Below are 18,141 nucleotides of genomic sequence, written 5' to 3' on the forward strand. Positions count from 1 at the left end.
TCCTTGTTGCTTTTACTATGGGGAGAGGGATGATTTGTCCAAATGTTTTCTTACTATTTGCTGATGAAATGCATGAGGCAAAAAGAAAATCTGAGGACCTCACCATCATGTCATTCCTCAGGTCACAAGGTCCCTTGCCAGTTTTGCTGTTACCCTCCACCTTTCAGAGTCTCCTTGGGTTAGTGTCATGTGTAATGTCCAGGGTGTTTAGATGTACCGAGCAGGAGGTATAGGGAAAAGCATGTCTATTTCATTGTTCCAGAAGCAGATGTCCCCAATCCGTTGTTTTTCCTATTTCACAAATGAAGTAAAAGACTCATCTATGCGTGCCCCAGATCACAGGATTTGGAGAAGGATGTGGAGTGATTACCATGGAGCTTTTCCTCCTGCCAGAAACCAGAGGGCCCAGAACATGTAAGAACCAGCAGTAGGGGCCTCAGTCATTCATAGGATGTTATGTGCCCCAAATCACACAGCAGGTAAATAGCAGAACTAGAATGTCATTTCACAAGGTATGGTTCACAGACCACCTGCATAAAAATGTTAAGTATGTCTGTTAGAAATGCAGATACCTTGGACCCTAGCCTAGACCTTCTGCAGAAGGTGATTTTGTTTGTGTGCCCTTTAAAGGCTGTTAAGCACTGCTATGAGAAAAAAGAATTCCATGATCTCTTGGTGCTCCTCAAACTGAGACTCCATGATTCTCTTGAAGCAGTCACCCCAGTCGCCCTGCATGGATGACAGCCCGTGCTTCTTGTTTAATTTCTGGTAAAACTAGCCTGGCGAGCAAGGCCAGCCCTGACTTACTGGAACACACCATGAGCCGTGGGGGTCAGAGAGCTTTCTCCATGGGGAGGAAGACTGGGAGGGGGTGCAGCGGGAAACCTAGTCAGAAGCAGCAGACAGTGGAAGACTAATGGGATTAATACTTGGGATTCATTAGCCAAGGATTCTGGAACTTTTCCAGTCCTCTCCAGCAAATGGCCCAAACTGCCCCCTTAATAGCATTAAGTGAAATTACAAATCAGAGACGGTGGCTGATCAATCTCCTTGGGGCTTCTCTACAGCTTTTGTGCAGTAGGGGTGGTGACAGTCCTTCAGTGGGGCGACTGGTCCTCTGCCAGCAGCTGCAGCACTTGCTCCACTTGGTCCGTTTCCCTCTTCCCTGGCCTGGAAGAAAGGAGCCAGAACACACAGGTCTGGATCACCATCAAGGCTTCTTCCTCACCCATCTCACTCCCTCCCGTTCCATAGCACAAAAGCCACCAGTCAAAGGGGAGCCAGTCAGAAGCAAAACGCTCTGTCCCAGAAATTTCCACGGTCATAAAATTTGGATTGGGGTGGTGTCCTGGGCAGAGGAACCACAGTAGAATGGTGGCAGGAAAGACTTTCTTTTTCAAACATAGCCGAGCCTACATGCCTTGCGAATCTTAGAGGCTCAAAGAGAGAAGAGGAGCCTTCATCCCCTGGGTACCACTTCTCCTTCCAAGTCCAGGCTCTGGGGCAGGGAACCCCCTCGGATGGAAAGGTTCTGATGGAATCTCCCCACAGAGGTCTTGCTGCCTCATCTGATCACCTGCTCACGTTCTCCACCTCTTTAGCCTAACGGATGGGGTTTCATGATCATCCATCATTCTCTCTCTCCTTCCCAAGACAAGCCTAGATCACTTCGTCACCCACATCCATCCTTTCTTCTAGGAAGAAGGATGGGAAATAAATCAGTCAAAGTTCTCCAGAGAAGTAGAACCAGTAGGATATGTAGATATATCACAGGAAATTTATTCAGGGAATTGGCTCACTCGAGAAGTCTCGAGATATGCTATCTGTAAGCTTGGAGAACCAGGAAAGCAGTGATATAATTCAGTCTGAGTATGAAAGCCTGAGAACTGGAGCTCCAGTGTCTGAGGGAAAAAGAGGATGGATGTTCCAGCTCAAGAAGAAAGTGTAAACTTGCTCTTTCTCTACCTTTTTGTTCCATCTGGGCCTTCAGTGGATTGGACGGTGCCTGCCTACATTGGTGAGGACAATGGTTTTTACTCAGTCCACTGATTCAAATGCTAATCTCTTCTGGAAATGCCCTCAGAGACACACTCAGAAATAATGTTTTGCCAGCTATCTGGGTATCCCTAAGTCTAGCTGACACGTAAAATTAGCCATCACAGGAAGATAACCAAGCCAGGTCCTGAAGTGAGAGCAGACGGGTAAGCAGTTTGTGTTGTTCTGCAGTGGCTGAGCCCCTGAGGGGACCAGGGCTGCTGTGCCAGATGGGGAGTGCCCAGCTCCAGGGATGCTTCTATGTTGGCAGCAATCATTAAATCTGCCTGCCTGAATCTCATTGGCCAGGCCTCGTCTCCTGCCAGGTACAGCGTCATTGCCCCTCACTGAGACCAATCAGCAGCACAGTCAGCAGTAGAGTGGGCCAAGAGCAATTTCTTCATGACATTTACAAAGAGAGGGTGGGATTTAGCACATTGTGCATTTCTCTGGGCTCCCTGACGGTCTGATGGCATCCAAATCCCAAAGGTGGTGACCACACATGTGAGCATATGCAGGGCCTGCTGAAGCTGCCTACAAACAGATGTGCATGTGTGAGGAAGCTCGGGTGTTTCTGGGTACCCAATAAATAATCTTATCTATAATACATCAAAACGGGAAATCAATTCTGGTAATTACCCTATTTTCTTCATTCTAATATACCATTGATTATAAGATGCATCACTGATTTAACAGCTGCCTCAAAAAGAAACTTTACAATAAACATGCAGGTCTATTTTAAGACATATCCCCATTTCAGAAATGTTAAAATGTGTGCGAGGAAGAGGGGAGATGCATATTATAATTAAGAGAAAATGGTAATGGGGAGATAGTCAAACCAATTGACTGATTGAATTAATCAGTAAATGCAGTGAGTGTGATTCATTGGAGGGTTTTCAGTGTGTTGGTGGGCACCCTGACTCAGCCACCCTGAGATAAATTATTGTGCTCCCCTCTTAGCCAGCTCTCAAGGGTCTCTTCCCAGAGTAACTCCTCATATTCATTGTCACGTCTGATAGTGACATGTTATAGTCAGGCATCTGATCCTAACTAGGTGACTCTCAGAAGAATTACAGGCAAGAAGATGCTCTCCTCTCCTTTCATCTGGCATTGACTTTTGAGCTCAGTTCCTCCCCTCTATTCCCCAGGGATCCAGATCTCCTGGGGTATCACCATCATGAGATGCCCCTACCTCTAAGCTCCACCAAAAAGCACTGGGCATTCTCCTCCTACCCGTTGTCCAGGTGAGGAGCGAGACCATTATCATTTGCCTCCAGTCTGACTCTCTTACATCTGTCCCAGTGCACCCCAGTATGGAGCCTGTAGCCACCCTGTCTGTCCCTATCTCTCCAGTGCTCTGGGATTCCTCTTGCCCCCAGTCTTCTCCAGTGCTGTTCTCCTAACCCTGAGGGCCTTGGTGACCTTGATCACCACCCCAACTATTGCTCTGAAGATGAAATAAGGTGGGCTGTGGACACATATTGGATCCTGTGATGGACCAACAGCTGATAACAGGCCAGCAGGACACCAGGAAGGTCTAAGGCAGAGGTGTCCAATCTTTTGACTTCCCTGGGCCACATTGGAAGAAGAAGAATTGTCTTGGGCTACACATAAAATACACCAACATTAACAATAGCTGATTAGCTAAAAAAAAATTGCAAAAAAAAAAACTCATTATGTTTTAAGAAAGTTTACAAATTTGACTTGGGCTGCATTCAAAGCCATCCGGGGTCACATGCGGCCTGCGGCCGTGGGTTTAAAAAGCTTAGTCTAAGGCTGGGGAAAAAGCACATTTTTGAGAAAATAAAAATCACAATTTTTTGTTTTTGAGACGGGTTTCACTCTGTCACCCAGGCTGGTGTGCAGTGACACAATCACGGCTCACTACAGACTCGACCTCGCTGGACTCAGGTGATCCTCCCACCTCAGCCTCCCAAGTAGCAAGGACTACAGGCGTGTGCCATCAGGCCTGGCTAATTTTTGTATTTTTTGTAGAGATGAAGTCTCACTATGTTGCCCAGGTTGGTCTCAAACTCCTGAGCTCAAGCCATCTGCCCACCTCAGCCTCCCAAAATGCTGGGATTACAGGCGTGAGCCACTGCACCTGGCTGAAAATCAGAAAATTTTGATCCACACTGGGGACAGGGAGTAACTGGTTGTTAACTGAGTGAACAACAAGGAGGATGGAGTGGTCTAGAGAGAAACTTAAGAGAAAGAGAGAGAGAGGCCATATGCAGTGGCTCATGACTGTAATCCCAGCCCTTTGGGATGCTGAAGTGGGCGAATCACCTGAGCCCAGGAGTTTGAGACTAGCCTGAGCAACATAGGGGGACCCTGTCTCTACAAAAACAAAAACAAACAAACAAACAAAAAATTAAAAATAGCCAGGCATGGTGGGGCACGCCTGTGGTCCCGGCTACTCAGGAGGCTGAGGCAGAAGGATTGCTTGAGCCTAGGAGATTGTGGTTACAGTGAGCTATGATCACGCCACTGCACTCCAGCCTGGGTGACAGAGCAAGACCCTCTTTCAAAACAAAAGACAAAAACAAAACAAAACCCAACCAACAAAACAAAACAAAAATAAAAAGAGGAGACAGTCTTTATGAGGGTGCTACAGAACAGCCCTGCTTTGAGGAAGGTAGGGCACATTTCAGGAGTCCCTTATGGTCTTTAGATTTCTAAATTTTCTATTTTTATCTAGTCTTCCCATCTTCCATTCACTGGTTCTCAACCTGGGTTTAAGGTACTGGCCCTGCCTAGGAGTGTTTGGAAATGCCTAGGAGAGTTGTGGCTGTCACAACTGGGCCTCTACTGCCATGTAGGGGGCAGGGCCAGGGATGCTAAGAAGCCTGAAGCTCTTGGTATTGCAGGTGGAAAAATTGCCTGTCCCAAAGACAAGATACAGATTGAGAAACACCAGTCCCTGCACTACCTCACCTAGCCTCTAGGGGTGCTCTTCTCCCCCTGCAGAGCTGGCCTGAGTTTGCCCTGACTCTGCCATCCCCTATCAGACTCAGCCTGATTTGGAGTTTTCAGATGGAAATTTCTAAAGAAACTTAAGAAGACAGATGGGAAATTATCAAAGAAAGCAACAAAGCATAAAAAAAGAGGAGCATCAACAGATTTCTGAGTCTAAGGAAGCTCAAGTCTATTTAGTCTAGTCATTTTTTTTTTTAACTCACAATTTTCCTGATTGAAACAATTTACTAGGTGCAGAGGCCTCATTTCTTTCCTTATGCTAAGGACACTACAGCCAGTCATAGCTCAGGCTGGCCCTGATACTGGCCTGGTAGAATGTTTAAGCTTTCTAGAGGCCAGGCTCTGGATCTTTTTCTTGGTGTGACCCAGAAAGACCATGGGCTCAAATCACTCCAGTCTCAAGCTGCTTTGGCCTTCTGGCCTCTCCTCAGTCTTTGACCCCTTGCACTAGCTCCACACATCAGGTCTTTCTGAGCAAGGTGTGGCCTTCTCTTTTGCCTTTAGAGTAAGTGTCAAGTAATGCTAGCAGCTGTGATGGAGTTCTCATCAACGCTCATGGTTCCAGACAAGAACAGTTGCTTTTTCACTCACTTACAGCCTAAAACCAATGGTACCAACTGGTGGCAGGTCTCCTCCAAGTGGTAATTCTGAACCCTAGGCTCTTTTCATCTGGTGGCTTCTCCATCTTCATTGTGTGGTTTCTCCACAAGGAGCCTGCAGAAGAGGAGAGGGGATGGAGGATTGCCTGCACGTGGTTTTCATGGGCCAAGCCTAAAATTACCACACATGACTTGTGCTCATATTCTACTGGCAGGAATGGAGACACATGCCCCCAACCTCCAGCTGCAGGAGATGCTGGGAAATGTAACCTAGCTGTGTGTTCAGGAAGATGAAGAATTGGGTTTTACAACCAGTCAGCAGTACATACCTCCACCTCCCATGAATGGGCTTCTAGAAGTCCTATTTTCCTTTTTCTCTACAATTTTTTGGCAGGTCTAAAGCAATGTCCTGGTTACGAATAAGTGGCTGGTTCCTCAAAAAGTTAAACATAGGATTATCACATAATCCTACAATCCTACTTCTAAGCTTATACACAAAAGAATTTAAAACAGTACTCAAACAAATACATGAACACACATGTTCATAGTAGCACTATTCACCCTAGCCAAATCCTTATCGATGCAATGAATGGATAAACAAACTGTGGTACAGATATACAATGGAATATTATTCAGCCATAGAAAGGAATTAAGTATTGATACATACTACAATGTGGATGATTATGCTAAGTGAAAGAAGCCAGACAAAAAGTCACATGTTGCATGGTTCCATTTGTATGAAATATCCAGAATAGTGAAACCCATACAGATGGAAAGAAGATTGGTGGTTGCCCAGAACTGTGGAGTAACTGCTTAATGGAGACCCTTTGGGGATGATGAAAATGTTCTGGAACTGGCTGAAGATGGTGGTTGCACAATGTTGTCAATGTATTAAATGACACTCAATTGTTCACTGAAAAATGGTTAATTTTATGTTATATAAATTTTACCTCATTTAAAAAAATGTTTAAATGATTCTAAAAGAAAGAACAAATGGATGGATTTTTTGCTTTGGTTTTGTTTTTAATGAAGCCTAGTTTTTACGTATTGTTTGTTGTTAATTTTTCTGGTCTGCATCACATAAGATGATTCTTAGCACTTGACCTGCTCCAGCAACTTAACTCCATCCTGTACGCCTTCTAAAGACATTGGAGAAGCAACTAATCTTTCCTTAACTCCATGGACTCTCTCCTTGGGTTTGGTTTCTGATCATATGAAATGCATTTCTGATACCTAGAATAATTATCTGTTAGAGTGTTCATTTGCTGAGCAATGACGATTGACATACCTGGGGCTTAATTATTTTTAAATTTAGCTCATAGTCTCACTTCCATCCACTTCTGGAGGCTCCTCAGCTTCTTTCCTCTCCTTCCTGCCCTCATCTGGTAGCTGCTCCCTTCCCCCACCTCTGGGTGCTGCTTAGGAGGTGGGGACCTATAACATTTTCAAGCCTTCCTCTCACCGGGTGCCAGTCTTTCCTGGGCTCATCAGTCTAGTCAAATATCCCCTAGTACTAAAAATAATTTTAAAAATCAATCTTATTCTACTTATGCTTCAAATAAAATAGCACTTAGCATGATGTTTTGTACTTCTTTTGATATAAGACATTTCATTCTTCTAGACTATAAGCTCTTTGATGGTAAGAACCATGCCTGAATTACGTCTATATTCTTAGCACTTAACACAGTAGCTGATTTATATAGTAGTTGCTCAATAAATATGAATTAAGTGAATAAATAAAATGTAATAGCATACAGATAAGAGAAAGGCTATTTTTTCATGTGAATAAACAACCCAATTGAAGCCATTCTCTTGTAGAGAGAGCAGCTTTTTACCTGAAATCAATGAATTGTTCATTCCTGCAGACCAGCACAAAAGAACCATTATCTAGGGCTGGCATGAATTATAAGCAGGCAGGCTCAAGGAAAAGAACAAGTTTTGTTATAATAAATGGGAGTCTAGAACTCAGTAAACAGTGAAAGGGGGCCAAGGAGGAGAGATCAGAATAGAGAAACCAGTCCCACTTACTGGGGGAGGGTAGGCAGGCACTGCTATGGATGGTGGGAGACATTCCAGCCAGGGCGTGTACTCTGAATGTGTGTGGGGGCATAGGTGGCCTATCAAAGGGAAAAAGAGAGGGTCCCAGCGGTGCTTGACCATTGTGTGTGGGTGAGATGGTGAGGTGCTGTAGCAGGCACCAAGGGAGAGCCAAACAGGCAGGTGGTCAGCATGCAGGGGAACTGACAGCGGGCTGGGCCCTGGGCAAGATTTCTGGGATGAATGATGGGATTAAGAATCCTGGGAAGATGAATGAGAGTAAGGCTGGGCCACAGCCTTGGAGGAACTAGGTTCTTACCAGGTTTCCTAGGCAGATATTCAGGCCCAGGTAGGGGTGTTTGGTGAGAACTTGGACACAAACAAGGCCTTAGAACTGGGTCATGTGGTCAGAGCAGGTCTGGGTGACTGACCTCCTGGACTAGGTAGGGCTCCTTAAACTCGCTATGACTGAGGCCTGAATTATCTGAGATTGAGATAGGACTGTGCATGCAGATGAGACTCAAGTGCCTCTAGTGGGGAAGGAGGGGCTTCAGGGAGAGTGGAGTCATTATAAGCTAATGGCGAAAATCAGACTTAAGTGGTTGCCAAGCTAATGGCGAAAATCAGACTTAAGTGGTTGCCAAGCTAATGGCAAAAATCAGACTTAAGTGGTTGCCAAGCTGGATTCAATGATGAGGCTGTGTACCTATAAATTACTCCACAGGATTTAATGTGTACACATTTTAAAGATTTTCTTTCCCCATAGCAAAGTAGATTTACAGTCTGAATGACTGAGCTTATTAATTCTAATAACCTTTTTTAGAATAAAAGTATATAAGAAGATGGGAAGTAAAAGCCTATGTCCTTAGGTCCAAGAAGGAAGAGGAGCCCTCTCTAATTCCTGCAGTGGTAAGAGTGCCTGGGTGTGAGTGAAGAGGGCCTGCTGCTGACCTCAGCCTGGAATTCCGGTTTCCAGTGCCTCCTCTCCCCACCTGTTCAGCAGGCACCCTCCTTCCCTGGGGTCTCCAGACCAGTAACACTCTCTGTTCTCTTACTCAATGGTTTGTTTGATTGATCTACTCTTCCTGGATGTGTTCAACTGAGATCTCAGTAGAACAGCTCCAGGCCAGTATCTGAAAGACCCTCAGTACGTTCTGAGTGGAGGGCTGCCTTGCCAGAGGTCAGGCTGCCCCCTTTCCTGCCTGTTATTTGAGCATGGTACTCTAGTTATCTCAGCCACTCTGTGAGCTACCCAGTGCTTTTTCAATAAACCCCCTTTTCAGATTACATCAGTCTAAGCCAGTCCTGATGTTTGCAATCAGGAAACTGAACAAATATAAAAATTGGTGTCTTAAGGGGTGGCAGGAAACAGACCCTCAGAGAAGTAAGTTGTGTCAGGGCTTGCTATCTGCCTAGTTGGAGCTGAATGCAGTGAAAACCCAGCAGGGAACTCTAGCAGCCTATGGCCCAAGTGACGAAACAGCCCCTAAAGTTACCCAGTGGTCCCAGACTGAAAAAGCCACTTCAGGCAAGGATATGGAGGTCCCATAGCAGATGGTCTTGGTATCTGCGCCATGTCCCCCTTGTTCTCTCCTGATTTCAGTGCAGCTGTGACGATCTTGTTCAAGCGTGTGCCAGTTTCTCTTTCTGCTTTCTTGCCTCAAGCCTTTCTCCAAAGCCAGGAAAGACCCCTCAGAGGCCATCAGGGCAGCTAGCCCCTGAGTGGGGGGAAACTTACCATCCCTGAGGGCAAACCTCAACCCAAGTGGGATGGGAGCTGGTGGATAAATGTTCCGATTCCTTTCCATCCCAGGACAATTCTGAGGTGCCTTCTGCAACGTGCTTCAGAAGACCCCCAGTGGGAATGAGCCCACACATTGAGGAGCTCAGTCATGCTCCCTTTGTTATAGTAATTTTCCATCCTTTCCTGTCTCCCTCCCACTGCTCCCTCGTCTGCTTTTTGACAGACAGCCCAGATAAACGACCTGCAGCCAAATCTGTGTCTCGAGCTTTCTTTCAGGAGAGCCCAAGCTACTACCTGAAAATGTGACAAGAGAAGAGGAGTTAAAGGACTAAGTGGGAGATGGGAGATGGGGGGTTGGCAGTAGCGTTGCTTCTTCCAGCACTGGGAAGCTTAAGGAGAAAATGAAAAACTCAAACTCATGAATTTCAGCCCAAGGCATAGGCAGAAACCCAGGGACTTTCTAAGACCTACTGAATGGGGTTCATATTTATTTATTTTTAGAAACAAGGTCTTATTATGATGGCAGTGGCTGTTGCCATCACGCTGGCTGCAGCAGGGAGGCGCAGCTGGGGCCGCATACTCCATGGAGCCAGTGGGAGCCCCGCCCCTTCTGAGTTGGGACGCGAGCTCCCTGGGTGCTGCTGTAGCCGCCCAACCCGCAGCTACAGACCCACGCCTCCTGCTGTATGGAGCGGGCAGGAACCCCAGCCTCCTGGGTGGGGCTGCAGGCGCCCAAACTGCAGCTGTGAATGGGAGCCTCCCTGTGCCCTTCCGGGAGGGCCAGGAGCAGGCAGGATCTGCCTTCCCTGGTGCGGCTGCCACGCCCTCCCAGGCTCAGGAGCCGGGTGTCTCTGCAGCCTGCACCCTCGGGGCCCCAGGAGGAACCTCTGTCCCTGCAGGTTCCGGGGTGTCTTCTCCTGCTGCCTGGCCCCTCTCCACTCCCGGCACCTGCTCTGATCTTGGAGCCGGGGTTGGGGCCGAGCCTGGGGGCTATGAATGGCAGCAGAAGGCAGATTGATTCCTGGGCGGGGAAGAGGGGGAGTCCCCAGTAAGGCCCCACCTTTGGGTCAGGGAGGGCCTGAAGGCTGGGGGCTGGGCTGCCAGTCCTGCTGACTGGAATGGGGACTCGTGGTGCCTCTTCTGGGCTGCCATTGGCCACCCCTGGACCTATCAGCATGGACGCACTTCCTCCCCGCTGAGGTCCATAAAAACCCTGGGCTCAGCCAGAGCAGGGCAGAGGATGGCCAGAAGACGAAAAGGGCAGAGAGACTGGGATGGACAGAGAGACGGATATGGGATGGGATGGCATGGGATAGGATGGGATGGGCGACTGGCAGGGAGGAACTACCCTGTCTGCTGAGAGCTTCAGATACCTGCAGAGATATCCAAATGACTTGCCTGCAGAGAGGAGCCACCCTCTCCAGGGCCTCCTCTCTGCTGAGCGTGAACACTCGTTGGGAGGACTTGCCTACAGAGAGGAGCTACCTATTCCTCTGAGCTGTTCTAACACTAAATAAAACTCTTCTCCTTTTTCACCCTTCACTTGTCTGCGTACTCATTCTTCCTGGATGCAGGACAAGAACTTAGACAAAAGTGCTGTGGCCACAGAGGTTTCCAGCCAAAAAAATCGACACCCCAGAGATCCCGTAACAATTATGTTGCTCAGGCTGGTCTTGAACTCCTGGCCTCAAGCATCCTCCCGCCTCTCAAGTAGCTAGGATTACAGGCATATGCCACCACACTCAGTTCAGAATGATGTCTTATGGCTCATAGTTGCAGGACTGAGATAGTCAAAACCAGTCACAAAGTTTGATCCTACAGGTGGTCAAATTATAAATCTAGTAAAAAATCACAGCTTCTCCACATTTCTAATGTGAAAGATAGAAATGATTGATCAGAAAAGAGGGGGACCACAACAGTTGCAACAAGGATATATGGGAAGATTTGATTGGGCTCGTAGTACCTTGAGCTTCTCACCCAGGCTGAGCCTGTCTTGCCAAAAGCAGTAGCTCCTCCCCTTCCGTCCAGTGAGGCTTATCCCTGCCTTGCTTGGAAACTTTATATGAACCCACCTTATGGAGCTACCTTGCAAGGGGAGGAGCCACTACCCTTTTTATCTCCATACTGGAAAAAATAATTAGAGACATTCCAGCATGGGACAGTGGTGGTGGTGGTGAATTACCTAGTTAAACTCTGGAGAAGAAAACATACACACCACAAGTGTTGTATGACATTATTAATTTGAATCATTAAAGATCTGGAAAATTCATGTAGGAATGGATTATTAAAAAAAATAAAACCAAGGAGAGAACAATAGAGTATTGAAGTACCTGGATTTGAAGATTTAGGGACATTTGCTAGAAATTCTACATTGAATGTTCTGTTCTAAGTTGCTAGGAGTGATTTTAATTCTGTTTGGTTAGCTGAAACATAGGCTCCACATTGATTCCCACTAAATGGAGTTGAGAAGCCAGAAATCCCTTGGATGTAGGGAAGAAATGCATAGAACTTAGAAGATAGAAATGGATTTATGTGAAACCCACCTATTCCCTCTGAGAAAACCCAGAAGAGTTTACTTTCCCCATGTTCATCAGGATGTCTAATAGGACACGTCCTGCTGTCGGAATTATAGTTAAAGTCAATGCTTAGAATAGCAGATGCTAAGTACACACATTCTAATTTTTTTTTTTCTTTTTTTTTTTTGAGACAGAGTCTCACTCCATCACCCAGGCTGGACTGCAGTGGCATCTCTCAGCTCACAGCAACCTCAGCCTCCTGGGTTCAAGCAATTCTCGTGCCTCGGCCTCCCAAGTAGCTGGGATTACAGGAACTCACCAACAGACCAGGCTAATTTTTTTTTTTTTTTTTTTAGATGGAGTCTCGCTCTGCCACCCAGGCTGGAGTGCAGTGGTGCAATCTTGGCTCATTGCAACCTCTGCCTGCCAGGTTCAGGCAATTCTTCTCCCTCAGCCTCCCAAGTAACTGGGACTACAGGCGCATACCACCATGCCCAGCTAATTTTTTTTTTTTGTATTTTTTTTTTTAGTAGAGACGGGGTTTCACCATGTTGGCCAGGCTGGTCTTGAACTCCTGGCCTTAAGTGATCCACCTGCCTTGGCTTCCCAAAGTGTTGGGATTACAGGTGTGAGCCACTGTGCCTGGCCACACATTTTGAATTTAGAGTCCACAGCCTCTATAAAGGGCATACTGCAGGGTACCACCCCCCCACCCCCATCCCCACAATGTTAGCCTGTGCGGAGTGTGGTGTACACAAGAAGAAGCCATTCCCTCTCTTCACACCCTTGTGGGAGAGGAAAGGAGGAGGGGTACTTCAAGAGGATCCCTTGTAGAGACAGAAGCAGAGAAGATGGCCGTTTCCTGTCCTGGCTGGATGTCTGCTTAGCTGACCTGAGCAAAGGAAAGGAGACATGGAGAAAAATGATAAGGTAAGGTGTGTGCGTTGTGGGGGGAAGGGGCAGTAAAGCAGCCTCCTCCCACCACTTGGTATGGTAGCAATCCAGGCGTTTCCCCATAGCTGGGTGGACAAAGCAGAAGGGTGAGGGAGCTGGTCTTCAGTGGTCAGTGACACCACACAGGAGGACTGCAGCCCACCAAGGGGTCCCGGCAGCTGGAGCCCAGAGTTGATGACATCAAGTGGGGGCTGAGGGGTGGTGGAGAAATGAGGCGAGCCCAAGTCAAATCTCCAGGGTCAGGGAAATGAGCAGTGCAGGGTCTCCAAAGGGTCCACCAAGAGCTCACGTACAGAGCAGACGCCCAGCATTTGATGCCTGCCCACAAGGGGCTTGAGGACTGGCCAGAGAAGCTGCAACAGTAGACCAAAAGAAGACTTCAACCTCACCCAGTGAACAAGGGAGATGTCTGCCTTTTTCCTTCTTGTTCCTCTTCACCTAATTATTTAATATCCCCAAACTCCAGGACTGGCAAATAGAGACCTGATTTGAGCTATGATGGAGGATCATGGCTCCTCACTTCTTTCCATCCCTGATTCAGTTCACGGACATGGAGTTTTTAGCAATGGGAAGGCCAGGTACTCTGGAGGGAAGGTGCCGCAATAACAGCACAGTAATGCGTTGTGAGTCTTCTTCCAGCTCCCCTAAAGGGGTCTGTGGCCATTTACCAGGGTAACTATGTATTGATCAAGGTAACTGAATGACCCAGACCTTTCAAGGATTATTGACACTGGATCTGGTATAACATCAATCCTGGGGACCCAGAACCCTTTATCCATGGGTTAACATGAGGCTTTTGAAGGCCAGGTGATAAATGGATTTCTACCTGAGTCTGTGTCATGGTAGACCCAGTAGGGCACTTACACCATCCCAGAGTTATTTTCTCAGTTCCTGACTAAACTATTGGAATAAATAACCTCAACTGGCAGACTCCCTACCCTGGCTTCTGACCCGTGAAGTAAGGGCTATTTCCACAGGAAGGACAAAGTAGGAGTCTCTGGAGCCCTTCCACAGCCATGGGGAATAGCTGAGATTAATGCTATTAGCTGAGATTAATGCTTCCACAGCCATGGGGAATAGCCAAGATTAATGCTTCCACGGCCATAGGGAATAGCCGAGATTAATGGCTTCTGCTTTGAGAGGGGCCCAGAGCAAGAAAAGGTTCTGTTGCATGTCCAGGTTGCCATGCAAGCTGCTCTGTCCCGTGCCTCTCATGACCCAGCAGATGCAATGATGATCAATGCTGTGGCAGATCAGGCTTCCATACGGAGCCATTGGAAAGTACCAATGGGAGAATCACAGTGGGGACCCCTGGAGTTTTGGGACAGGGACATCATTTCTTTGCTGTAACTATGCATGTAAGAAACAGCTCTTGACTTTCTACTAGGCCTCACAGACTGAGCACAGTATACCTGGTGACCATGCAACCCAAGTGGCTCATCCAGAATTGGGTATGATCTAATCAACAAACCAAGAAGGGCATGCCAAGCACCACCACATCATCAGGTGGGAACAGTTTATTTGGAACTGGGTCAAGCAGGTCCTGACAGCACGAGCGAGTCACATGTGCTTTACTCTCCCAACACCCCTGCTCCTGTTATACTGCCACCCCACGCACATACCTGTAGCTTCACGAGGAGTCCCCTGTGACCTGTTGACTATGGAGGAACAACTGCAGCCTGATTTACAGGTGGCTCCGCACAATGTGCTGGCATCACACAGGACTGCTGTGGCATTAGACCTGCCCTCAGGACCAGGCTCAAAGGACAGCACAGAGGCGCATCCTTCCAGCAGTACAGCGTGACCACTATTCTCAACAGAAGAGATGGCCCGAGGTAAGCGTCTAATGTGATTCATGAGCAATAGCTAGTGATTTAGCAGATGGCCAGGGACTTGGAGAAATCATGATAGGAAAATTAGAGGCAAGGTGGTTTAGAGAAGTGGTCTGTGGATGAACTCATACCCCCAAATTACAATAACTTGTAGTCTTTCTTCCATCTCTAATACATCTCCCACTCTGCCCTCCAAGCGATCTTGCTAGCAGGCTAATCTAATCATGTCACTCCCCTGACAAGAATTTTAATGGCTCCTCATTGCTTATGGGATAAAATACAAACCCTTTGCAAAACCTGCCCCTTGTCTATCTAGCCAACCTCATCTCTTACCACTTCCTTCCCTAATACTTTGTGCTCCAGGCTGATTCCCAAAAGCATGCCTTTTTTTCTTCAGGTTTCTGAACCTTTGTCTTGTTTTTTCCTCTGCCCAGATGGACTCTGCCCTATTCATCCTCCAGGTCTCAACTCAGAGGTCACCTCCTCCCAGAATTCTTCCCAGATTTGCCCAGGCAGATGCAGGATGGTTACTGTAGTAGACTCCAAAGCCAGACTGCTTCAATCCTGGCTTGGTTACTTACTAATCATGTGACCATGGACATATTATGTAACCTTACTGTGCCTCAATTTCCTCACTTGTAGACCAGGCAAGGTTGGTGTGAGGATTAATTAGTATATAAATATTATTAGTAATAAAATAATAATTAGGTTTTAAAATAATACAACATAAATATTTAAGTAGGACCAGGCAGGGTGGCTCACGCCTGTAATCCCAGCACTTTGGGAGTCTGAGGTGGGTGGATCACCTGAGGTCAGGAGTTTGAGACCAGCCTGAGCAACATGACAAAACCCTGTCTCTACTAAAAATACAAAAATTACCCAGGCATGGTGGCGCTCGCCTGTAATCCCAGGTACTTGGGAGGCTGGGGCAGGAGAATTGCTTAAACCTGGGAGGCAGAGACTGCAGTGGGCCAAGATCACGCCACTGCACTCCAGCCTGGACAAGATTCCATCTCAAAAATTAAAAATATATGCATATACACACACACATATATATATACACACATATGTATACACATATATATACACATATATATATTCCATCTCAAAATATATGTATATATAAATATACTCCATCTCAAAAAATGTATATCTCTATATTTATTATTTATTTTTATATATAAAAATATGTATTTTTAAGTAAATAATACATAAGCAGAAATATAAAAGCAGAAGTGGGCCTGGCCTAAAGTCACTGCTCACTATATGTCATTGCTGCCAGTGAGTGCTGTTTTCCCTACACAGCCCCCAAATTTTATGCACATGCCCAGGCAGACAGGGTAAAGGCACTCTTCCCCCTTGGTGTTTTTAGTTCCCAGCAAGTGCCTGGCACATAGCAGGCTCTCAATAAGTTCTTACGGGATGAACAAATGACGTCTGGAATCAGAATCAGGGGTACAGTCCCAGTTCTATCACTTACTAAAAACCTTGGACAAGTTATACATGATTAAAAGCCTCAGTTTCCCCATTGGCAAAAAGACAGCGAAAGCACAAATATTACACTGAACCATATGAAAGTGCCATTTTTGCTGGTCAAAACCAACTGAACATCAGCAATTTCATGTGATTCAATATAATTCTTCCAGCTTAGAGCTGAAGGGAGGCCCAAGTGAGGTAATGGATACGAGAGTGATTTATGAGCTGTAAAGGGCTGTACAATGTCACTATTGATTATTATCAAATATGTGTGGCAAACTAGAGATGATATATTTGAGTAGAAGAATCATTTCATTTAGTTCAGTTTGTATAATAAATAGCAATCTGGAGAGACAACTTTAAATTTTAGATTCACATGACAGTGTCATCAAAGCAGATTTGAACTCAGGACTCTTGCAGCAGAAGGGCCATGGGTTTGAGTGGGTCCCACGCCAGGGGAGGAGCACAGGGATGTCCTGTGGAGAGTCATGGATTGCAAAGAGGCAGTGGCCTGCTTGTCTGCCTGCCTGTTTGCATTTAGCATTCTATGGCTCTTGGAACCCCCTCGGGGATTTTTCCAGCACTCTATTTCCTCCAAGAGCACACACTATATTTGTTCACACTCACTCCACCTCTCCCAGACTCCCAAGGTGACAGCCTCCCTGGAATTCTTGATGCAGCAGGAGCTCCACAGGTGAGTGTCAATATGCACAGGTCCACAGGAGCCCACAACTTCTAGACAAACCCTTCCATACCTAGGGATTCTGGTGAAAGAGATCTGTTTGCAGACTTGGCCTTCTCCCAGAAAATGCCCTTCTTGCTGTCCTTTTCTTGGCTCAGATGGGTGACTATGTCAGATATGATATGAGGAGAGGGGTTGTGCTTGATGGACTTCTGAGATCCTGGCAGCCAAGCAGAGTCAGTGTCTAGCAGAATCAACACCAAGCTTGCTTCTATATTCAGAGCCCCTTAGTTGCAACTTTTATCTTTTGCCCTCTGGAATTTCCTATATAAAAAAGACTTTCCTATGTAAAAAAGACCTCTGGCCAGGTGTGGTAGCTCATGCCTGTAATCCCCACTTTGGGAGGCCAACACAGGCAGATCACTTGATCACTTGAGGTCAGGAGTTCGAGACCAGCCTGGCAAATATGGTGAAACCCCATCTCTACTAAAAAACAAACAAAACAACAACAACAAAAAAAAAGAACAAGAAAATAAAAACCTAGCTGGGTGTGGTGGCATATGCCTGTAATCCCAGCTACTCTGGAGGCTGAGGCAGGAGAATCACTTGAACCCAGGAGGCGGAGGTTGCAATGAGCCAAGATCACGCCACTGTACTTCAGCCTGGGTGACAGAGTGAGACTGTCTCAAAAAAAAAAAAAAAAAAGACTCTCAATTACTTAAACTTAGTGTGTATTTCATAGAATCATGCGCTGCCAGAGCTGGAAGGGTCCTCAGAGATCATCCCATAATTTACAGCTGAGAAAACTAAGATCAAACCAGAGTTAAGAGGCTTGACTAGAAACTAGGGTTATGGAATCCCAGACTAGTACCCTTGATGCTATACAATATATTTTAAAACAATAGCTATCATAATGTGGGTGTATGCCATAAGATAGTTCTGCGTTCACCTAAATCTGCCCCTTACCAGGTGTGTGATCTTGGGAGAATCACCTTCTCTCTGAGAGCCTCAGTTTTCTCATCTCTAGAAAACTTCTCAGTGTTGTAGAGAATGAAATAGCATGTGAAATGTCCACGATACACGGAGTGCTCATTAAAAGTAAGTTTCATTTCACTGTGGAACAAAAAGCAAACTTAGTGGAAGGATCGAGAAACAAGTAAGAAGATTTGGGGTAGCCTTGGTTGGGAGAAAGGGGAAGGGGAGTAACACCCCAACATATGTGATGTCAAACCATTTTATCCTGCTTTTGTATAAGACTGGGATTTTCCCCCAATTTAATTAAATTCAG

The 18,141-nt window shown here is 46.4% G+C and overlaps 2 annotated features.

The window, feature by feature from the left end:
- Positions 4,958–5,047: a silencer, noted in NCBI's record as "silent region_1730". NCBI's record gives its function as "represses an Ori minimal core promoter by ATAC-STARR-seq in GM12878 lymphoblastoid cells {active_cell/tissue: GM12878}" and the evidence as "EXISTENCE:reporter gene assay evidence [ECO:0000049][PMID:35858748]".
- Positions 10,204–10,745: an enhancer, noted in NCBI's record as "H3K27ac-H3K4me1 hESC enhancer chr1:204721386-204721927 (GRCh37/hg19 assembly coordinates)". NCBI's record gives its function as "activates a minimal SCP1, AML or CMV promoter by ChIP-STARR-seq in primed H9 embryonic stem cells {active_cell/tissue: H9 hESC(primed)}" and the evidence as "EXISTENCE:reporter gene assay evidence [ECO:0000049][PMID:30033119]".

The sequence above is a fragment of the Homo sapiens genome, chromosome 1 (genome assembly GCF_000001405.40).
Source record: "Homo sapiens chromosome 1, GRCh38.p14 Primary Assembly".
Lineage (NCBI taxonomy): Eukaryota > Metazoa > Chordata > Mammalia > Primates > Hominidae > Homo > Homo sapiens.